Consider the following 23,548-nt stretch of genomic DNA (forward strand, 5'->3'; position numbering starts at 1 on the left):
TTGAGCCATAGATACGACTCCAGTCCTGACCAACACCTCAATTGCACCCTTGTGAAAGACCTTGAAGCAGAGGACTCAGCTAAGCCATGCCTGGATTCTTGACTCACAGAAAGAGTAAGATAATAAATATGTGTTAAGTTGCTAAATTTGTGGTAATTAGTTACACTGAAGAAGGTAAATAATAAAACCTATTTTTTATTTAATTTGCAATACAAAATGTTCTCACAAATAAAATTTCAGGCCCAGAAGACTTCAGTGGTTAATTCCATCAAACAATCAAGGAAAAAATAATACTAATCCCACAAAAAATGTATTTCAGAATGCAGAGAAGAAAGGACTACTTTGCAACTGATTTCATAAGGCAGCATAATATTGAACTCAAGATCTGGCAAAGATATTACAAGAGAAAAAAACACAGATCAATATCATTCCTGAAGATGGATACAAATAATATATTTAAAATATATTAGCAAATAGAATCCAGAAATATATAAAAAGAAAAATATATCATTACCAAATGAGTTTATCCCAGGAATGCAAAGTTCAGTCAACATTAGAAAATCTATCAATGTAATTCACCGCATTAACAGAGCAAATGACAAAAAAAGTCTCCATAGAAACAGAAAAAAAAAACTTGACAGTATCTGTCCATGATAAAAACTCTCATCAAGTTAGAAATAAAAGGAAGTTCCCTCACCCTGATAAAGGCATCTGTATAAAACATATAGCTAATATCATATTTAATGCTTAAAGGCTGAAATTGGAAGCAAGTTAAACATTACTGTTCTCACTACTTTTCAACATTCTATTGGACATCTTAACAAGTACAATAAAAAAAGATAAATACATAAAAGATGTAAGTATTGAAAAAATAGTAAAACTGAGATTATTCACAGATGGTATGATTGCGTACATAGAGAACCACATGGAATCTGCAAAAAATAACCGATACGTGAACTTAGGTTACAAAATACAAGGTCAATATTTAAAAATCAATTTTATTTCTATGCATTAGCAATGAACAATCGGAGCATGAAATTTTAAAATAAAATTTCCAGAAGTTTCAAAAACTGTCACATACTTAAAAAAATTTGATGAAAATGTGCAAGAGCTCAACAAAAATATTATAAAACACAACTGAGAAAAATTAAAGACAAATAAGTGGAAAGACATGCCACATATATGAATCATAAAACTCAGTAGTATTATAATGCCCCTTCTTTCCAAATTTGTCTATATCTTCAACACAATCTCTATCAAAATTTCAGCAAGGATTTTTTAAACAATTGAAAGTTAATTCTAAACCTTATATAAAATGCAACAGACAAAGAATAGCCTAAACAATTTGAAAAAGAATAAGTCGAAGGACTTACACTACTTGATTTTAAGACTTATTGTAAACCAAAATAATCAAGACAATATGGTACTGGCATAGGATGTCAAATCAATGAAAAAAATGAGTCAATAAATAGACCCTGATATATAAGGAAAATGGATTGTTTTTTAAAACCACAGCACTGAGTTAATGGAAAAAAGGCTTTTTTTGTTGTTTGTTTGTTTAACAAACAGCGCTGCAACAACTAAATATCTGCATGGAAAAATAATAATAAACCTTAATGCTGTTTCACTCCATATACAAATAATTCTAAATGTACCATATACTTAAATAAAAAACTCAGAACTATGAAGTTTCTAAAAGGAAATATGGCACACAAGAAACTGTCTTTGCGAGCTTGGGGTAGGCAAAAATTCTTTGGACAGGACAGAAAAAGCTTAACAATGATAAAAAGAAAAAACTGATGAATTGGGCTTCATCAAAAATAACATTTTCAGCCAGGCGCTGTGGCTCATGCCTGTAATCCCAGCATTTGGGAGGCCGAAGCGAGCAGATCACAAGGTCAGGAGATCCAGACCATCCTGACCAGCATGGTGAGACCCCGCCTTTACTAAAAATACAAAAATTAGCAGGGCGTGGTGGCGCACGCCTGTAGTCCCAGCTACTCAGGAGGCTGAGGCAGGAGAATTGCTTGAACCCGGGAGGTGGAGGCTACAGTGAGCCGAGATCCCACCACTGCACTCCAGCCTGGGCGACAGAGAGACTCTGTCTCAAAAAAAAAATATTCTGTTTATCAAAAGACACCATTATGAAACCGAATAGGCAAACCCCAGACTGGGAAAAATTTTGGAACACGTATATTTTAAAAAGGCATATAACTGGAATACATTTTTTAAATTCCTACAATTTGAGACTAAAAATACAAACAACCAAATAAAGAGCAAAGACGTAACCACTTCAAAAAAAAAAGATAAACAAATGACTAGTAAGGACATGTCAGTGCTCACGGTCAAACCCATAATATGGTACCAAATTAAACCCATAATCTGGTACCAATTCACACCCGCTACGATGGATAAAATTTAGGAGATTAAAAACACAAATGTTAATGAGGAGGTAGAGCAACTAGAACTATTCTCACACTGGTGGTAATGTAAAATCTCACAACCACTTGGAAGAACTTCATTGCAGTTTCTTGTAAAGTTAAATACACATTTACCCTGCACACCTGGAATTCGATCCTGGGTATTTATCCAGAGAAAATGAAAATCATCCACAAAAACACTGTATTGGGCTGTTAATAGGCCAAAACCTGGCAACAACTTAAATGTTCATCAACAAAACAATGGGTAAATAAATTGTATTATATTTATAAAATGGAATGTTTCTTAGTAATAAAAAACAGTGAAGCACAGATCCAAGTAACAACATAAATGAATTTCAAAAATATTAAGATGAGCAAAAGAATCCTGGCCCAAAAATGTACTGCATGTTTTCATTCACATGGATTCAAATGACTGGTAAAGTTAATCTATGGAGACAAAAAGTGGTGACCGAATTCCAGCATGGGGGTAGGAATCGATTAAGATGCATGAGAGAATTTTCAGGGTAGTGGAAATTTTTTGTTTTTTTTAGTGAGTGTAATGTTTATAAGGTTGAAAAATATCGTTAGAATGCATCAAATGAATATATAAGATGCATGTGTTTCACTGTATGTTAATTATATACCAATTAAAAAATTTAATTTTAATTAATTTAAAAAATTGCAATCCAACAAACATGTATTAAAAATCTACTATTTAGAAAGTACTGTGTCATACTGTGAAATGCCACATTATTTAAATTGGAAGAAGGCCAGATAGATCCACACGTTTAGCCAGGTAGCCCCATGTCTGCCAGTGTTGGTTAGTTACAGAGGTTTTAATAAAACTATTAAATATATATTCACAACTAGTGCGCAATTAGTACACATTTTTGCTTTTAAAACTCAGTGGAAACACAACAGCAACAATGAGACTTCTTCCTACAGAATAAATGTAAACATCTGCTAAAACATTAGGTCTTTGAAATGCAAAGCCAGTGCATTCAAGCAGGTAGAAGGTATCAGAAGGAAATACAAGGTGATTCAATAGAAGGAGGATAAGGTTAATCACAAAAAGGCCCTTTGTCTAGGATACCCTGTGACCCCTCCTAGCCATAAAGTGACTGACTTTATAATTGTTGTCACTCATTGCTCCCAGCAAGTGTTCCATCCCAAAGACCATGACCTTATCCAATTAGCACTCACTTTGCAAGTAAAATAGTGGGAGAACCTATTCAACATACTTTCAAAACACTGTGCTGGGTCATCTCATTTGATTTTCACTGATTCAGTTATTGCAATGAGGGAGAAAAAACTCTTTTTGGACTAATGTGGCATTGATTAAGTTATCCTCATCAGTTTTGATGTGTATTTTTGTGGATTTTTTGCTATTTATAGGTTTAAATATTTTGTTTTAAAATGGAATTAGTTAATTTAACTATTTTTTGAGATCAAACCTAGAATGATCATTATCAGACTATCTTTGCATTTGTTAAAGCATCTTTGCCACAAGTCATTCACCCTTCTAGAGGCTTCCTGTGGTGAAGAAAATATTGTACACCATTTTATAACCTACCTGGGAAACCATGGAGATATACCACTTGGTGCACAGTAAGGTGTTCAAAAAACACTTGTTGAATGAATGAATGAACAAATGTTATGGCCATAAACAGCCAACATTTCATAATGTCTTGCTCCAAATGGTTCAAAATAGCATTATGAAAGCACAGCTCAAAACAGTGTTATAATTATATAGGATCATGGGCATTGAGGTCAGTCTCTAAAGTCTGAGTCTTGGATTCTATCATTATTATTTTTGAGATTTTGGGCAAATTTCTTAATTTTTCTAAGCCTCAGTCTTGTCATTTATTAAACAGGGATAAAACTATTTGCACCTGATATAATTATAGTAAAAATAATGTGCACAAAGCATTTGGCAGCTGACCTGTAAAAATCTCTCAAGTACTTGTTGCTATTATTTTTAGTTTTTTTCATAATTTTAAATTGTATTATTGTTATTGTATAATAGCTAAGAACACAAACTCTGGAGCTAGACCTCTGCTCTTTAGTTTTCACATAAAGATGACAATGATGATAGTATCTATTGCATAGGGTTGTTATGAGAATCAAATAAGTTAACAGATGATGTGCCTAGAATAACAAACACAGCATGAGGCTTAATTGTTCATGTTGGTGGTAGTAATGTTAAAAGATATCCAACTGGGTAAATGTGATTTTAGTGTTACATGGGTTTGAATCTCAGCTCTGCCCCTTACTTAGTATGTGATCTTGTATAAGTTAATTAACCATTCTGTGCCTCAGTTTCCTCATCTCCAAAGAGAAATAATAGCACTCATCGCATGAAGTTATAGTTAGGATCCAGTGAAAGAATATGTGTATAGCACTTAGATTAGCACCCAGGACACAGTGAGTATGTAATGAATGTTAACTATTATTGTTGCCATGGTGTGGTTATCATCATCATCTCTGCCAAAGGAATTCATATTTATAGCCTGAAAATATTGACAGATAAAAGCCCTGTTTATAATGAACACATAGGGAAGATTCTCAAATTGCATTCCTTTAGTTCAAAAACGTAATGCTTCCCTGTTTCAAGGTCCTAATTTTCTGAACTTCTCTTTCATTTTCCTATCCATCTAGATAGTTCAAAATCTCCCACCATCAAAGGCAACCCTTCCTCATTAGCTTTGGAGGCCATTTTCTCACGAATTTAGTTATTCCTTTAAAACTAAAAATATAATAATTGCAAATCCTGTCCCATGAAGATTAAAATATGTGAGTTCTGTTCCCGAAATTGCCAGTAAATTGGATTCCTTGGTGAAATCATCATTTCTCTGAGTTGTACACATTCTTCCTCAAAAAATATGTCCACAAGCTAACTTGCAAACTTATACACACTTAATATACAGAAACCAACTTGGAATACTGAACAAATATTCTACATTGGTTGTAATTGTCACCACTAAAATTCCAGGAAACCCCATCAAAGATGTAGCTGTAGCTGATCCTCAGCATTACTGGTCAAAGCTGGTCATTGAGAATCCACGCCCCCTTAACATTCTGCCCAGTGTGTAAGTGTTGTTCAGTAGCCACAGAAAAAAATATAATTAAAAGATACCAAAGCTGAGCTAGAAGAGATATTAGAGGTCGTCTGGATTAATTCCTTATAAGAACAGAAAATAAGAATAAGAAATGCTAAATAACTTTCCCAAGGCCATAAATTTATTTGAGCAAATTTAGCAGTCAAATAATGGAAATAATAAGAATATCTTACATGTAAAAGACTTTTTTATTTTTTTCTGAATATTTTCTTTTTTTTCTTTTTTTTTTTTTTTTTTTTTTTTTTTTGAGACAGAGTCTCGCTTTGCCACCCAGGCTGGAGTGCAGTGGCGCGATCTCAGCTCACTGCAAGCTCCGCCTCCCGGGTTCACGCCATTCTCCTACCTCAGCCTCCCGAGTAGCTGAGTAGCTGGGACTACAGGCGCCCACCACCGCACCCGGCTAATTTTTTGTATTTTTGGTAGAGACGGGGTTTCATCGTGTTAGCCAGGATGGTCTGGATCTCCTGACCTCGTGATCCGCCCGCCTCGGCCTGCCAAAGTGCTGGGATTACAGGCGTGAGCCACCGCACCCGGCCTATGTAAAAGCCTTTTATAGTTTAGAGCGCACTTTCAGACCTATTATCTTATTTGATTCCCGTGGCAACTTAATAAGGTAGAAAGAGAGTAAGCATCATCATCTACATTTTACAGGTAAGGAAATAGGCTTGGATAGGTGAAATGATTTGACCAAGTTAACACAGTTTGTATGCGGCAGAGTAGAAATCAGAAACCACTTCCCTCCAGATTCTCATGCCCTACTTTTCTCCTGCAGTTATATTATCAAGTCATCTAACAGTAAAAAAGTTATTTTTCAAGTGTATGGCTTTATTGCTTGCTCTGTGGTAAGAAGAATGTAGACTATTTCCTATGCATTTTTCTAGTATTGTAGAGACATAAGGATCTGTGAGAGCCTTTATCTATTCCATCCTCCAGCATCAAAGCGGGATTTCACATAAATCATATAGGGCAGACCAGGCATCTATTTGAAGATAAGATATTTTTCAAAATTCCAAGAAATGTGGCTTTAGCCAACCTCATCCACGATGTATTTTAAATATTAACCAGATTGGCAAGTCTTTTGTGTTTTACCTGTCCTTCATGGAATTAATAGGAAACTAAGATTTCTTTTATTAATTTAGAATAATTCTACTATTCTAAAAGTGATGATTATGTTTAGTATCACTATGTACTTTATTTAAAATATCAAAAATAATTTAGTGGCTTAAATACCTCTAAAAGGCCCTGATTAACATAATCCTGTTAGTGAAACTCATCTCCCAGACTACCATGATTGGTTTAACAACAGGCACATAATCCAGTTTGGGCTAATGGGTCAACAGGAGATGGTGTCTAGAGATTCTGGAAAAGGAGACACATTTTCACTTCCTGATGGATATGAATGAAAAGGCATATTGCCTCAGGAGATGTTCAAAGCCATTTCAAGTCGGCCAGCTTTGGGCTAAAGTCAATATTGGAAGTTAGGGGGATAAACAAAATGAAATAGGTGTTTGGTGAAATGGTTGATCCACTGTATACACTTTGTTTAGTACATTCTACTTATTCCCTTTTAACTTACTTGAGCCAATAAATGCCTTTAACTTTTTAGCCATTTTGATACTAAGTTCCAGGTATGCAGTGCCTGCCATTTGTGTGTGTGTATATGTGGGTGTATTTAGCAAGCAGTGAGTTCTGGCCCTTTCATGAAGCAGAGAAGAGAATGAGGCCTCTTCTCCGGCCACAGAGACCACTGACATGTGGCAATGCCAAGCAATATATCCTGTGACCTGCCTAGAAAGAGATAGACAGTGATACACTGGCAGGACCCAAGGGGAAATGGGACTGTTGCCCACCTTTCTAAGGGGTAGTCTCCCTTCACTTGCCCCACAGTCCTGTAACATAAAACACACAGAAAACCCCAGCTGTGATCCCAAGACCTTTAGGAGCTGGTAGACTAGGCTACCAAAACCTGACCTAAAGCCAGAAAAACCTCTGCTGCACATACTCATCAGCCATTGTTGCCTACAGAAGAGATGTGCCTGCAAGTTGAATATTCCTTTACAGCAATGGGAAGGCCACTATCATCCAGAGACAACCTCTCCCTGGCAATGCTACTCACCCGAATATCTGCTGACTCTAGCTCCAGCCACACTCCAGTCCTTAACCACAAGAAGGGAAATTATGATGCTCAGAGTGACCAGCTGACTGGTCCTGAGTCAGAGCTTTAGGATCATAGTCTCAGAGGCTACAGACAGTTATAAAAAACAAATCTGGGCAATTTAGCTAGCTTCTTACCCTATTCTAAGCCCCTTTCTTCTTTCCTTATGTATCAGTAACCCAAGAAACTTCTGTCATCAAGTTGGGCGTGGCAAGAAATGTGCTTTTCATTATCTGTTGCCCACATTTACTCTTGTTTCCAGGTCTTTATTAGTCAGACTCCTATGACCCATGTTCAGGAAAACCCAGGCTTTGCCTTGATCCTAGCTAGCTGCTGCCAGTATTATTTACCTTGCCTGATGAGTCCTGCACTCTTACTGTCCTGATGCCAACTTATGGAAGTTCTGTTCAGCAATAAATCTGAAGAGTTGGCCCCATACTGCAAATATGATTATACAAATAATACGGAATCTCAGTTTTATGTTCTCATCTCTCTCCAAACCCAAGGTCAGGTGTTCCAACCAGTATATGGACACCAACTGAAGGCAGGAGTTCATCAAGCTTTGCATTTACCCCAAAGGGATCACAGTGTGTTTCCTAAAGAGTGGGTTGTTCTGCTTTTGCCATGAAAACCCCAGTTATTAATGTGAACATTATCTGTCTGAGCATTTCACCAGCTTCTGATGACCCACCAGCTCTAAGGGGATATATAATGTCTACAAAATGAGACACCAAGGGCACCTACAAATTCATCTGTATCTAGTGATGAATAAAAGGTGACCTTTCTAGTTTACCAACATACAGCTCTCACTGAACATCTCATCTAATCACTCAACCCAAGGAGACATGGCCTAATTTGATGAAATGCCAACATGCTATGTCTAGCTGGTATCCCGTGAGCCAGAGCCTTTATGAACTACCTGAGGCCACCACCTCTAGGTTAACTCTAAGATATGGGTACAGTCATATATCACATAATGGCATTCAGTCAATGGCAGAGCACATATAGGACAGTGATCCCATAACATAATAACGGAGCTGAAAATTTTCTATTGCCTGGTGATGGAATGTCATAGCACAATGTATTTCCTCTTCTATGTTTGAATATGTATAGATACACAAGTACCATTGTGTTACTATTGTCTAGAGTATGCTGTACAGGTTTGTAGCCTAAGAGCAACTGGCCTGGGGGCAATAGGCTATACCATTAGCCTAGTTGTATAGCAGGCTATACCATCTACGTTTGTGTACACTACATATAGGGTATATCACAAGTACACTACATCTATGATGGGCACACAATAATGAAATCCCCTAGCCATGCATTTCTCAGAATATATCTCCATCTTTTAGTGACACATGACTGGATTTGAAAATCCTGAGGTGGAGACCTGGAACAGAATCTGCCCACCAAAAAGTCTGGGGAGGGGGTTTTGCCTAAGGTATCATCAGCTTTAGTGAAAGTGACCTCAGGGCAATAAAAAAACATCCCATCACTGCAGAGTTCACAGGTCACTGTCTTCCATCCACTTATTCTCCATTGTTTTGTACATTTTTCTCCAATAATTTTATGTTTGCTGGTTTGGATCATAAACCATTGCTACATCCTAGGGGAGAAAGATCATATTTGTTTTTATCCCTCCAAATCCCATGTTGCTTCTTAGTTTCTCCCGTTGTAGGCTATTAGACGCAGAAGGTGAGATTGTCCTGGAATTCCAGGGGAGAGGGAGAGGTCATTTTTTTTTTTTTTTAGCACTTTTCCATTTCACAAGTATCAAGTACTCCAAAAGAATAAATAAAGGCCCTGTTTTGGAAACCAAAATATGAGAGGGACTTCATCTACTTCATCTTCACATACCTGCCCAGCCACCCTTGTTTAACAAAGATTTTCTGCTTTCATGGACTGTCATGCTACAGAATATTCAACTGCAGCTCCTAGAATGTTTCCAACCTTATATTAGGTTGGTGCAAAAGTAATTGTGGTTTTTGCCATTAAAAGTAATGGCATTAAAAAAAAAACTGGTTAAAATTCTCCAAGTTTTGATATACCTGTATATTGCTCACCATCCTCTAACAATTAACTAATTAACCAGAGAACTGAAGAATAACTCCATTTCCACATTCCCACAGACAGCAAACCTGGGCCACATCCTTGGTTTATATAACTTACTACACTTCTCAAACCACAACATTCCCTGTAACAGCAACTATGGCTTACAGCCATATGACCTTCTCTGTCTTATATTACATACAATAAGAAAAAACATGTCCTTAGAATGACCTCTAGGAAACTCATGGGTAAGCTGAGGAATAAAATTATCCTTTAACAGAAGTTTCTGAGTGGGAGGTTTCATGAAAGATAGTCTGGCTTTCCTCTAAGCCCATACATAGCCTTGAGCCTCAAAAGAAGCAGGAGAAGGATATGCGTAGTTTTCCATCAATGCTTTTGGTCTTCCAAGTACAGTATTCTTTTTCCCCCAAAACATTCCCTCATAATCTGCTCACCAAGAAAACTGAATTACTAAGGAAAGGAAGTGCTAGATTCATGCAGATTTCATGACCAGCTTTAATACTTGGTCCGTTAGAAAGAGCATAGCCCAGAGAGCTAGACTTAGAAATTTGACTTGCATTTTCACATACTTTATCAGGTCTTATTCTGAGTAAACCAGGGAAACCCCAGCCCACTGATACTTGAAAGCTAGCTCGGTACCTTTAATAATGACACTATTTTGCCTCTTATTTGCCCTAAACATGTTCTATCTTATTTCTATAATATATGAAAGACAGTCACAACTGTTATTCAGTGTGTTCCCTAAAATTGAAAACCTAGTTGCAGTCTAATTTTTAAGTGTTTTCACCAGGGTTATGTATTTCATAACTGATGGTGCCCAGTTGGAAAGGTAGCTTTCTCTTTAGGGAAAGCTTCTCGATTTGGGGCTTGAATCAACTTACTGCATACCAGTTCATAAGATCCATGGCTACTTCTCCAGTAGAAACGACATGGACGCTCAGAGGAGCAGAATACATATCAAATGTGGATACATTTATGATTTAAGGCATTGGCAATGAAAGATATATAAATAATTGTATTATTATACATTTATTTTGAATGAGTCATAAATTCTCTTCCTCACTTTGAGCCCAGAGCAGCCTGGTACTAACCAATAAGTAAGTAAGTAAATAAGTAAATAAATAAATCAGAGACTCTTCTTTCCCTTCTTCCTAGAAGTTTCTAGCAAATAACATACTTGCTGATGTTTTGGAGAGCTCAGTTATTAGGAAGAATTCTTAGGAGGAGATGTGGGCTATAATACCAAAATATTTATTGATAGTTTCCATAATATTTCCACAAGAAATAATATCACATGTTCAAAAATAAAACTGGAATGTCCTGCTATTTTAGTTGACCAGACTCAAATCGTTATGGGACATTTACTGTATGGCATTTTTTATGCCGCAGAAAGAAGGACCATACTGTTTCTACTCTGAAGAGAATTTCAAATCTGATCAGGAAAATAGTAAATTTCTACAAGATAGAATACGGCAAATGTTTAAAAAGAGGGAGTCACATCCATTTGGAAATCAACATAGAAGGTGTTAGGCTTTATGGAGATGGAGATTTCAAATCAAGACTTGAGAAATTAGGTAAGAATTCCAAAATAAGTGCTCTGGGAGGATTTAAATAAATCAGTGAGGAGTAAGTACATTCATTCATTCATTAATTTATTAACAACTGAACTAATACATTCCTGAATGAGAGGATAATACACTGTTGTTCAATATGTGCTGTTTAGTTTCTAAGGATGTTGCCCTCAATAAGAACACTTGGTATTAACCTCTGACAAAGTACCACTATAACTCTGAAGCCATGTATTAGTGGTTTAAATTAAGAAACAGCTGTGATATTAAAATTAAGACACTTTTGAATAAAGCAACAAGCCATATCATAGACTTCCCAGAAACAGAGGGCATTTCACATATTTCAGTGAATACAGGAGTAGAATTCTATATATTTATTAATTTGATATGCATTCAATAGATATCGACTGTTTACTTAATATTGTACTAATTACTATGAAGATATAAAATAAAGTATGGAAATAGTTACTTCCCGATGGGTTGCCCAATATTTAATAGGTGAAATAAGGCACGTGAAAATACAATAGGAGAACATTTCTGGACAAAATAGGACAAACTGAGAAATGCAAAGGCTACCTATGGTTTTGCTCTCCCAGGGGTCTCGAAGTATATCATAATTATCTGGCAGAGTATTATTCTATAAACCAAGAGTACCTGAGACGGGTCTCAATTAATTTAGAATGTTTATTTTACCAAGGTTAAGAACGTGCCTGTGACACAGTCTCAGGAGGTCCTGATGACATGTGCCCAAGGTGGTCAGGACACAACTTGGTTTTATACACTTTAGGGAGACATGAGACATCAATCAATATATGTAAGGTGTACATTGATTCAGTCCAGAAAGGTGGGACAACTTGAAGAGGGGAGGGGGCTTCCAGGTCACAGGTAGATAAAAGACAAACAGTTGCATTCTTCTGAGTTTCTGATTCTTTCACTGAATACACGATTTACAGGAATAGCCACTTATGCCTTCGTCTGGCTTAGTGAAACAATAGGGCAAAGGAAGCAATCAGACAGGCATTTGTCATGTGAGCAAAGGGATGACTTTGAGTTCCATCTGTTCTTTATCCACAGGAATTTCATTTTGGTCAAATTACAAAGAAAGTATGTAGCTTTTTTATTCTGGTAGCTATCTTTTTTTTTTTTTTTTTTTTCTGAGACAGAGTCTCACTCTGTTGCCAGGCTGGAATGCAGTGGCGCAATCTTGGCTCAGTGCAACCTCCGCCTCCTGGGTTCAAGCGATTCTCCTGCCTCAGCCTCCCGAGTGGCTGGGACTACAAGCGCGTGCCACCACACCCAGCTAATTTTTGCATTTTTAGTAGACAGGGTTTCACCATGTTGGCCAGGATGGTCTCGATCTCTTGACCTCGAATCTACCCACCTCAGCCTCCCAAAGTGCTAGGATTATAGGCATGAGCCACTGTGCCCAGCTATCTTTTCTAGGAATAGAATGGGAAGCAGATTTGCCCTAAGCAGTTCCCAGCTTGACTATTCCCTTTGGCTTAGTGATTTGGGGGTCCTGAGAATTATTTTCCTTTCATAATTCTTATAAGCATTTTACATGTGGATGCAAAGACACTAAGTGATCCACATAAAACCATGTGAGTTGAGTTTTCTCTATGGTATATTGCTGGCAATATCAGTAGGCCCAGAGTTCGAAGGCCTCAAGATTATAAGTACTTGGTAGAATATCATTATTACTAATTTATTTATTTATTATGAGCCTATACAAAGTTTAGGTTAAAGTGAAGGAGATGTTCTATAAAGAGACTGAAGATACAGAGGAATCTGTGCTTCATTTGATAGGATACAGTGCAAAATTTGGGGTGGTAGAAGAAGAAGAAAAGCTGAAAAGTATATTAGAAACTTCAGGTGCCCAGACACAAATGCTGGAGAATAATAGCTGTGGGTGTGTGTGGGTTACAGAGGATCTGGGCAGCCCCGCTGCATCTCTTGGCCACAGAGAACAGTCAAGTCTTTCTGTATCCCCCAAGATGGGTTCATAAATCAACTAAAAAGAAAAGAATTATCCCAAAGTTTATTACAAAGATATGCCAGAAGAGAAAGCAGAAAAGGTGGTAAACTCAGAGACCATATGGAAACATGGGGGTCTGGCCACTTGGTGAACATCAGCGTGGAGTGATGACGGTGCCTGAAGACCTGCTCCAACATGGACAGACACCAGCAAATGGCCAATGAACTTTCCAGATGATACCAGGAAACTATAGAGATCCCTTGGATTTTTGATGTCACTATGAGGTGAGAAGTAAAGAACAGCAAATCATGATCAACTAAGTTTAAATTTGAAATGGCTGAGCTAACATGAAGTAACTGTGATCATCTAGAATTAACTAGGAAATTCTCCGTCATACATACAGTATAGAAAACCTGACATAGAAGCTATGTTCCATATAGAAAAATAAAGCTATGCTTTATGGCTACCTGATATTGTGGACTGAAAATATCACAGCTGCTATAGATTATAGAGTGCTATGGGAAGTTTGTTGTTGTTGTTGTTTTGAGACGGAGTTTCGCTCTATCGCCCAGGCTGGAGTGCAATGGCGCTATCTCTGCTCACCGCAACCTCTGCCTCCCGGGTTCAAGTGATTTTCCTGCCTCAGCCTCCCCCATAGCTGGGATTACAGGCATGTGCCACCACGCCTGGCTAATTTTTTTGTATTTTTAGTAGAGACAGGGTTTCTCCATGTTGGTCAGGCTGGTCTCAAACTCCCTACCTCAGGTGATCCACCCGCCTCGGCCTCCCAAAGTGCTGGGATTACAGGCATGAGTCACCACTCCCAGCCAGGAAGCATTTAAGCAGAAGAATATCATAAACAGATCTGTGGACCATGAGGATGTGTATGGGAGGCAGAGAGGAAATAGACGGCAGAAGCAAGCAAGATGGCAGCCTATGCTGGCCTAGCTCAGTGCTCCTCAAATTTTAATGGACAGATGAATCATGTGTGGGCCTTGTTAAAAGGCGAAGTCTGATTTGTCCTGAGGGTGAGAGAGTCATTGAAATTCTAGCCAACACCGAAGTGAGGCTTATGCTCTAGTCCATGGAGCATGTTTTAAGTAGCAAGGGTCTAGGTGGCAGGTGACTTAGCCTGAACTTGGCAGTAACAATGGAAAAGGAGGGAAGACACAGCTGAAAAGCATCAGGAAGCAAAAATGACAAGACTTAGTGACTGCTTGGAATAAGAGAAAATATTCACGATGACACCAAGATTTTTAGGCTTGGACAACTAAGAGTATCATGGTGCTGTTAACTGAGTCCTCAGAAATAAAGATTATGCAGAAATACCACAAAAGCCCTTACACATATTGATTTCTACCAGGTTGGAGAAAAACACCCCTACTGTGTAAGGTTGCCTTTTTCTTTTCTCTCTCTCTCTTTGCCCACTCAAGCAGAGTTCTTGGTAGACAATTGACTGCCTATTTTTCAGCCCTTTGGTATTCCTGCTTAGCATACAGGCCCCCTCACCACAGGAAGAAATTTGAGATTGGGATCCATTCCTCCTTGCATAGGAGGTTTTGGCTGCTTTGTTTTCATTGCACATTGTTAATGATTTGTCCCTGAACAAACTGAAAATATGCCATTAGAGAGATTAACAGATATGGAACTCCAAAGAACCTAAAAGTACTTCAGTGCAGCTTGAGAATTATAGTGAGTTGTTCCCAAAGTAAAAAGAAAACTATGTCAAACAGGTGTTTTAAGATTCCCCAAGTTAATAGTCCAGAGAGGGCCCTGGGACCCAGCAACAGTCTTCACTTGCTGTGTGAATTTGGCTCCCAGTCAGAGAGAGAGAGAGTGATAAAGAGATCAGGAGAGGCCTCTGCTTCTGCTGATGCCCCAGAGTCATCATTACAGGTGAAGCAGCAAGTCAAGAATGGTCCATGCAGTTGCCAAAAACCATTTATGGAGATGAACTATGGGAAATGGCCATGCAATTTCATTTCTCATTTCAGATTCTTATTGAAGTGAGACCAGATTAGACTCAAGCCCCTGTCTGTACTGCCTGTGTGTGTGTTGGGGGAGGGAGGTGTGATGGGAGAAGGAAGGGGGAATGCCTGGTATTGTGCTTCTGTGAACTGGTTTCCTTAATGCATGAAGGTAACACTTAGAACAGTTCATAGCTTCCCCAGGAAACCATTCTAAGTGGGCCACGTGCCCAGTGGTTTCTATCCCAGTTAAGTAAATAAATGAAATATGCTAATTAGCACCCTATTAGCTCACAGCAGGGAGTAATCCATGGCATTTTGATTGGAAAGAATTCTGTCATCCAAAAGGCTGGTCTGTAACAGAAGGCAAACTGGCCCAATTTCCTCCCTCCCTTCCTCATGGCAGTTGTCCAAATGTCTCAGAAGCAGACCTCACAACTGTGTGCAATTCTGAGGGTGTCACTTCACTCCATGAAAGCATCTCCTGGCCTCCACTGAATCTGGCACCATGCTGCACTCTAAGCATGGATTTATACAATTTAGAAATATGGACCTGAGCTCAAAAACACTGAGCAGGTTGGGGAGGATCTTTGACGGGGGAGAGGCAGTTCTTATTTCTTTCATTATGAGAATATCCCTACTTTTATTCTCTTGCCCTCCCAGACTCCAATCTGGAACGTATTTCTTTAACTCAGGTATGCAGGCATGCTGCCATGGAGTGGTTCAGTTGAAGCAGTCTTCTTATTAAATGGTAGAGCTTTGGGGTTTTAGTTGGGGAAAGGCCAGCTCATTTAGGTTCACCTCTTTCTATTTTTATTGTTTCAGCTGCAGGGAAATCCTATTTAGCTCCTGTTTCCCTAGTACTATTTCAATGCTAGATTTACATCTTGCCTCTCCTGTAGTACTTCGCAGAAGGAAGGGATTGGGGGGCAGTACAGATACTGAAGAAAAAAGCTCAAGACAAGAACAGCATGTTTTCCAATCTGCTCTTTTAAAACATCTACTTTCTAAGAGCTTTGGGGTTTTAAAGGAATTAGACATTATGACACATCTGTCAGGTTGCCACAGAATTTGTCAAAAATCCCTGTAAGAGTGGGACTTATACAATGAAGCTTAGTTATATCGTGGATAGGCTTGTAACACATTTTCTGTTCTTTATACCTAAAGTTACAGGGATCACCTGTGTATTTGCTGGTGGCTGTCTAATAAAAGATGTGGGTGTGGAGGAAATAGATTTTTAATCATCTGAATGTTATAGAGGTAAGTTTCCAATGAGTTTTCTTTCTCATGTTTGGTTTTCCCTTCGCATGATGACCTACTAAAACCAAATAGATTTTGAATGCCTATGGCAATGCCTCGTGAAAGCACTGGTTCTCTGCATGCTCACTTGTTCCCTTTCCAGTAAAAAATCAATTAATATTAAAGTTAAAATATATCAATAGAACGTATTGGTTGTAAGTACATCACTTTTTCTTGCATCCTAGTTTTGCCTTTTTTTTTTTTTTTTTTTAGTTTCTTCTTAGGTATGAAGAGAATCTATTATCTTGATTAGATATAAATTCAAAACAAATGTTGAATACCGGCTGTTGTATTCTCAACATTTTAGAATTCAACTTTAAATGAAATCTTCAAAAAAGCAAGTCCAAGAAAAACCTCATAGTAATATTTGTGTCTCATTCACTACCATCACCAAATGATATTGATTGCAGTACCTGAAGAAATCATTAGGCACCATATGACACTGATGTCTATTTAGAGTGTTTTTTATTCTGTATTGGAAAATAAAGCACATTACCTAAATGATTCAAATGGCAAGAAAAAAATTTATCCCTAAAAGCCATCTGTGAATTAGCATATGGGCTTCTGGAACCCAACATCTTGATTCTATATGTGAGTCAGGAGGAAAAAAAACAACAAAAAAAGAATGAAAGGAAGAAAATGGGATCCTGTCTCTAAATATAAAACAAGAAATGCTTTTATTCAATCAAGGAGATTTCAAAGAAAGTATTTATGAGAATGAAGTAGTCAGCTGGACCTCACAGAGGCTTCACCCAGGGCTGATCCCAAGAACAGTCACAAAACTTTAAGTTAGCCAAGACCCAGACTCTGCTGATGGAAAAATATGTTCCTGCATCCTTGCTCTGTAAATCCAGGCATGTTCTATATGCAATCTAGGCTTTTTAGTTTTGGCAGATCTACCTACCTTGAACTGGAAAACAGTTCAGTGAAGCATGAAAGAAAGAAAGAAAGAAAGAAAGAAAGAAAGAAAGAAAGAAAGAAAGAAAGAAAGAAAGAAAGAAAGAATATGAATCAAAGGCAAGAAACCTAGCTGTAGTGGCAGCCACTGCCATTACTAGGTAAGTGTTAGTGAGTCTTAAAAGACTCCTGCCTTTGTCCCTTCAGCCCAGCTCCCAGTCAAGTTGGCAAAGTATAACTTTGCTGCTTAGGAAAAGGCATCATGTCCCTCTTGCATTTATCAGATACTGTATATCTGCCTTGAATATATAAACTAATACAAACCAAAAAAGTCAGGTGGACAGAGGAATGAGGCCTAAATGCTTTTACGTACTTTGAGTTGCTGGGGAATGTTTTTCCTGTATATTCACATGTTCCAAATATCTGTCTTACTTTGAGCCTGGATTTCTGAAGTAAACACGTACAACCTAGCAGTGGGAACAAAAGACAGAAATAACTCTCTGTTGACACTTTTAATTAGATGTGGTTGCAGGGCCACTCAAGATGACAATTAGCCCCACTGCAACTACTATTGACGGATTACAAGCAAACACTGCCTGCTACCTGGTAATTCTACCTGTTAATTACTTGGAAAGATTCAGTTACTCAACAACTGACCTGAATGTTTTTGTGAATTGGAGGACCTGTTAGAGAGGGGTGGGGGACAACTTTAAAAAAAACCACATAGTGAAGTTGACAGTCAGGAACTGCTGAAATTTTATCAAAAATATTCTCGCAGCATAATGAAGCTTTCCAGGGAGTCAATCTCCCCAGACATTTGCCTTTGCCAACAGTTACAACAATGAGGAAAACTTTAATAGTGTTGTGGCAATTATTATTTTAATGCTGACTATGAAAACACGCACTGAGCTGTTTGCAGTCTCTGCCAAGTGGCAAGTGCACAGTGAATTTCAGCTAAGAGAAGACTTTGGACTTCAGCCCTAAAGTGATACTTAGAAGGGGCATGTGTGTCTTTCTGGATGGAAGAGAGAAGACAAGGAAGTCTGGGGCTGGGAGAAGCAGGGAAGCAAGGAAGATACCAAGAAACAGATGAGGAAACACTTAGACGAGCCCACGCTTTTGCTTGATTTTCTCCTACTTCTTCTCAGTCATCCCAGTGGGATAGCATCAAGTGAAGTCCCGGGGCCTCTCCAGTGATAATAGCAGACATCAGTGCCAGTGCGGGCTCTGGCTGGGAAACAACTGACCGCTGAGGAATGCCTGTCGATGGAGGAGCAGCATTAGAGGGAGGTATCTAGCTGAGGGATTCAGATGGTGAACCAATTGCCAGAGGTCACACAAGTCACTGCTCAAGGTCAGAGTAATTAGTTTGCTCATTCAGTTGTCATTTGCTGAGTGTCCATTATGTGCTACATGCTGAAGATGCATGGCTTCCATAGGTGATTCAACCACAATCAAAGCTGCAATGGGATTCATTCACAGGAAGGAGAAAAAAAGCACAGTTTCTTGTCTCCATGAAGCTCACAGTCCTATAAATAATAACAGTCTTTTATTCTTACTTTGTACTTGGACAAAAGCTACTTTGTTATATCCCCATTACACCCCATATAAGGTAAGACTTATTATCCTATACATTTATGGATGAGGAAAATAAGCCTTGACCTTGCTGAAACTCATACAGCTAGTAAGCAGCAGCACCAAAACTTAAGCTTAAGTTTCTTGATCCCCAGCTATCTAAAACCATGGTCCCTAATACCTGGGCTTTAGCTCACTTACGAGTTTTGATGCAGCACAACTCAACTGAAGTCAGTGCCTGAGATCTCTGAGCCTCTATTTAAGAGCTATTTCCACTCAGACTACATGCAGACCTGCTACAACAAAGGTTCGTGAAGAGACACATAATATAAATACACTTAAAGCTGCAAAGTCATTCATTAACAGAAGTGTAGATTGGGTAGTTGACAATCTGAACTACAGAATTTTTTAAAGCATAGTCTTACCACTTTCAAGAGCACTTTTGAGCTAGTTTCAATGTTTACATATTGAGATTATCTGATGAAATTGTATTTTGCCCAATATGTTTATCATGGAATTATTTATAATGGCAAAAAATTTCAAGATAACCTAACTTATTAATATTAGAGAAATGATGAGGAAAACATGGTGCCTCTCTAGAGATAGTATTATGTAGTCATTAAAAGTAATTATCAATAGTTATATGGCCAGATACAGTGGCTCATGCCTATAATCCCAAGACTTTGGTGGGAGGCCAAGGCAGGAGGATCACTTTAGGCCAGTCGAAGACCAGCCCGGAAAATATAACAAGACCCTGTCTCTAAAAAAATATATATATATAATTAACCTGGCATGGTGGCATGCACCTGTAGTCCTAGCTATATGGGAAGCTGAGATGGGGGTATTGCTTGAGCCCAGGATTTGAAGGCTGCAGTGAGCTATGATGGCACCACTGCACTCCAGCCTGGATGACAGAGTGAGACCCTGTCTTCAAGAAAAAAAACTTTTTTAAGTTATGCAGTATAGAAATCGCTCACTCCTCTAGACTGCTTACTATGCACCAGATACTCTTCTAAACATTTTATAAACTCATTAATCCTCACAATAACCCAATGTACTATTATCATTTCCAGTTTAAATAGAAAAATTAAGCACAAAGAAAATGACAGACCAAAAATCACACAGAAAGAGAAGAGGCAGGGTTCAAACCCAAGTAAGCTAACTGCATGATTTGCATTTTCAGTCATTCCACTATATCCACTATACTGCATCTCCACCATTCAGTGAAAAACATAGGAGACAAGTTTATGTACATTTTGATTGGACCTATCAAGCACAAGCATCTCTACAGCAGAGGGCTAAAATGGAAGTAAATAAACAGAAGAGTATTAATGCTGGTTATATTAGCTTCTTGTTGCTGGGTGACTAAGTTATCCCCAACACTCGGCGATTTGAAACAACAAGCATTTATTATCTCACTGTTTCTCCATGCTAAGAATTTGGGAGTAGCTTAGCTGGGTAGTTCTGGCTCAAGGTCTTCCATGAAGATTGCAGTCAAGCTATTGGGTAGGGCTGCAGTCATGTGAGAGCTGGACTGGGGCTCTTGGATCTGCTTCTAAGAAGGCTCATGCATATGGCTGGTGGCAGTGGGGGCTCAGTTTCTTGTTGTCTATTGCCAGGAAGCACAATTCCTTGCTAAATGGGCCCCTACATAGGCTTCTTAGGTGTCCTCACAAAGTGGCAGCTGGCTTCCTCCAGAGTGAGTGAACCAAGAACAAGGAGGAAGCCACAGTGTTTGCTGTGACCCAGGCTAGAAAGTCATACATTCTCACTTCTACCACATTCTATTTGTTGGGATCAAGTCACTAAGTACAGCTCTTACTCAAAGGGAGGAGAATTAGCTTTCTTCTTTGGAAAGAAAGATTATCAAGTAATTTATGGATGTTTTTAAATCACCATAGTAGCTGGGGGATGTGGCTCATGCCTGTAATCCCAGCAATTTGGAAGGCCAAGGTGGGAAGATTGCTTGAGGTCAGGAGTTCAAAACCAGTCTGGGCAACATAGCAAGACCTCATCTCTGAAAGATGAGCCAAGCATGGTGTTGCATGCCTGTAGTCCCAGCTACTTGGGAGGCTGAGGTGGGAGGATTTGTTGAGCACAGGAGGTTGAGGCTGCAGTGAGCCATGATCACACCACTGCACTCCAGCCTGGGTGACAGAGTGAGACCCTGTCTCTGCAAAAAATTTTTTTTAATTTTTAAATTGTTTCAACTACCCTGATATAAAAATAAAAACAAAACTTAAAAAAAAAAGTTTTTTAAACTACCAGAGTAATCATATTAAGATTATGAGAGTGTAGGTAATTTTTTCTTTATTAGTTAAATTTCTGTATTTTTATGACTAAAAACTTGAATAAACAAACTTGTATTTAATATTTAAATAGTTATAAACATGTCTGCAATTACATTCAATGCACTCAGCAATACATACATACATACATACACACATACAATTTCTCCAAAGCTCAAATTCAACTCTATCAAATATTCCTCTGGTCTTTATCACATCTTCTGAAAATGACAGTTCATCCTCAAATGTCTAAGAGGAAGGAATATTTTAAAAAGCAAGCCTAAAAAGTACACGCCTCTCTTCTGCTCCCCCAAGTATTCTGATGTCTGCCTATCAGCGCAGGCAGACCTCCTCATAAGCCTAGATGCCCTTAGAATTGTGTAAAGTTGCACAAAAACCCCGTGCCTCTAGCTTTTTCAAGGACACTGCCTATTATGTCTCTCAATGTCTTCTATAGGATGCACTGCCATGAAAAACTTGCTCCCTTACAGAATTGATGTGCGTGTTCATCCCCGAGTTAAAAAGCTTCCTGAATTTCCTTTCTTTGTCCTTGCTGCAAGGAAGCTCACAGTAATATACTGCCTTTTGCAGTGAATACAGGCCTTTTTTGTTTTTCACATGATCCTGTTTTTACAATATTGTAACCTTATTTTACATAAGTCCTTTACTCAAAAAGTCCTTTTTGGAAAGAAACAGGTAGGAACAATAGATACTGTTTTAGTGCTTATCATGTGCTAAACACTAGCAATTTGGTTCCCCAGTGAAAAAAGAATTTTTATTTTCTTTTTAAGCATTTGGAGTGCCATTTGGGAGTGGTTGAGAGTTTTCAGTTTCTCTAGATGGAGACCTTTGGGACATAATTTTGGGAGCAGGGAGTTGATATTATTATCAGGAAAGTTTACTATTACTACTGTAAAGCTAAAAGCTAGTTCCTATCCATAGTTGTCTAGAGGGAAAAAAAAACCTGTGAAGTCACTCCAAGTCCTAATGATGATGCTATAGATCAAGATATTGTTGTATTTGTTACAATATAAACTAAAGCTAGCTTTAACTATGCTATATCCTTGCTTATGTAAAGAAATTTTTTTTGAAAATACAGATTTAGACAGAAATTTGGCGCCCACATACAGAATTAGTTAAGTTGCAGAAAACCTACATTTTGAGCAATGTACTCTCAACTTTCATGATTGTCTTGTCAGGACAATAGAGTTCAGACTGTACCTCTGGGTGGGTTAGGAGCATCCCCTGAAGAAAATAAGTTTCCACTGTCAGTCATGCTCAGACAGGAAACACCATGGCCTTGGACAGCGGCAAGGGAGGATCCCCACCAATCTCACATGCTGTGGACTGAGAAACTCGGGGTATCTGACAAGGGGAAGCACTGTGGGAGCCAGAGATTCCCATGAGAAGTGGGACCTCCGCTGCTTGGCAGCCCATAGAGAGCAAAGCAAGGACTTTCAAATGGGGATCAGAGCCTATAAACCCTAAAAGGAATCACTGTTGACAGTCGTATATATAATCATTTTTGCTTGTTCACTGAACACTTTGAGGACTTTCTCTCAGTTAAGTAGTATGATTTTCATATACACCTCTAACCTGTTTGATACCTGCCACAGCACTGACACATTATATTTCTATTTTTCTCTAAAATATTTTTCTCAAAATAAAAAAAAAATTAAGAAGGTAAGTATTTCTATATGGCCATCCCATATAGTCTATACACTCCCACTTGGATAAATACAGGAGAGCTGGCAGGGCAGACCAGACCACTGACTTGTGGCTAATGAGCATCAGAGTCAGATGCTGGAAACACTCTGAAAGAGCTGAGTGCGTTCTGTAGTCTTCACCCCTCTGTGCATTCTCTTTCTGCCATTTATTTCTGGCAAATAGTTTTAATGCATAATGGCTGACAAGGGTAAACAAATGAAGTGTTCAACTTGCCACAAAGAATGAGAATTATGCTAACTCTTCAAATGCAAGTTTTCTGGCTGTTCAAGGATACAATAAAGCAAGCCAAGGGTAAAGATCAGCAGTCACTTAGGTATTGGTTGGTCTTTCATAAATATCACTTCATAAATATCACTGCAGAGTGGAAGGATAAACCAATATTCTTGTAAGTGGGATCTACAAGAAACCATGGCCAGAGGTATATCATTGTCTGTCTGCCCTCAAATCCTTTAGAGTGCTAATTTGTAGGAATACAGCCACTCTGTAC

General features: G+C 38.4%; 2 long non-coding RNA genes across 2 annotated transcripts in view, besides 1 other annotated feature; both read right to left on the minus strand.

The window, feature by feature from the left end:
* Nucleotides 1-23,548, minus strand: part of LINC01725 (long intergenic non-protein coding RNA 1725) — a 285,210-nt gene that overhangs the window by 208,466 nt on the left and 53,196 nt on the right. The gene's annotated exons all lie outside the window — the stretch shown is intronic.
* Nucleotides 10,344-10,423: a silencer, noted in NCBI's record as "silent region_1009". NCBI's record gives its function as "represses an Ori minimal core promoter by ATAC-STARR-seq in GM12878 lymphoblastoid cells {active_cell/tissue: GM12878}" and the evidence as "EXISTENCE:reporter gene assay evidence [ECO:0000049][PMID:35858748]".
* The window catches only part of LOC101927560 (uncharacterized), a 59,031-nt gene continuing 52,746 nt past the window's right edge, over nucleotides 17,264-23,548 (minus strand). Inside the window, exon 3 of the long non-coding RNA NR_119374.1 lies at nucleotides 17,264-18,999. This is a non-coding gene — a long non-coding RNA (uncharacterized LOC101927560). The remainder of the gene's footprint in view (nucleotides 19,000-23,548) is intronic.

This window comes from Homo sapiens, chromosome 1 (genome assembly GCF_000001405.40).
Source record: "Homo sapiens chromosome 1, GRCh38.p14 Primary Assembly".
In the NCBI taxonomy this organism is placed as follows: Eukaryota; Metazoa; Chordata; class Mammalia; order Primates; family Hominidae; genus Homo; species Homo sapiens.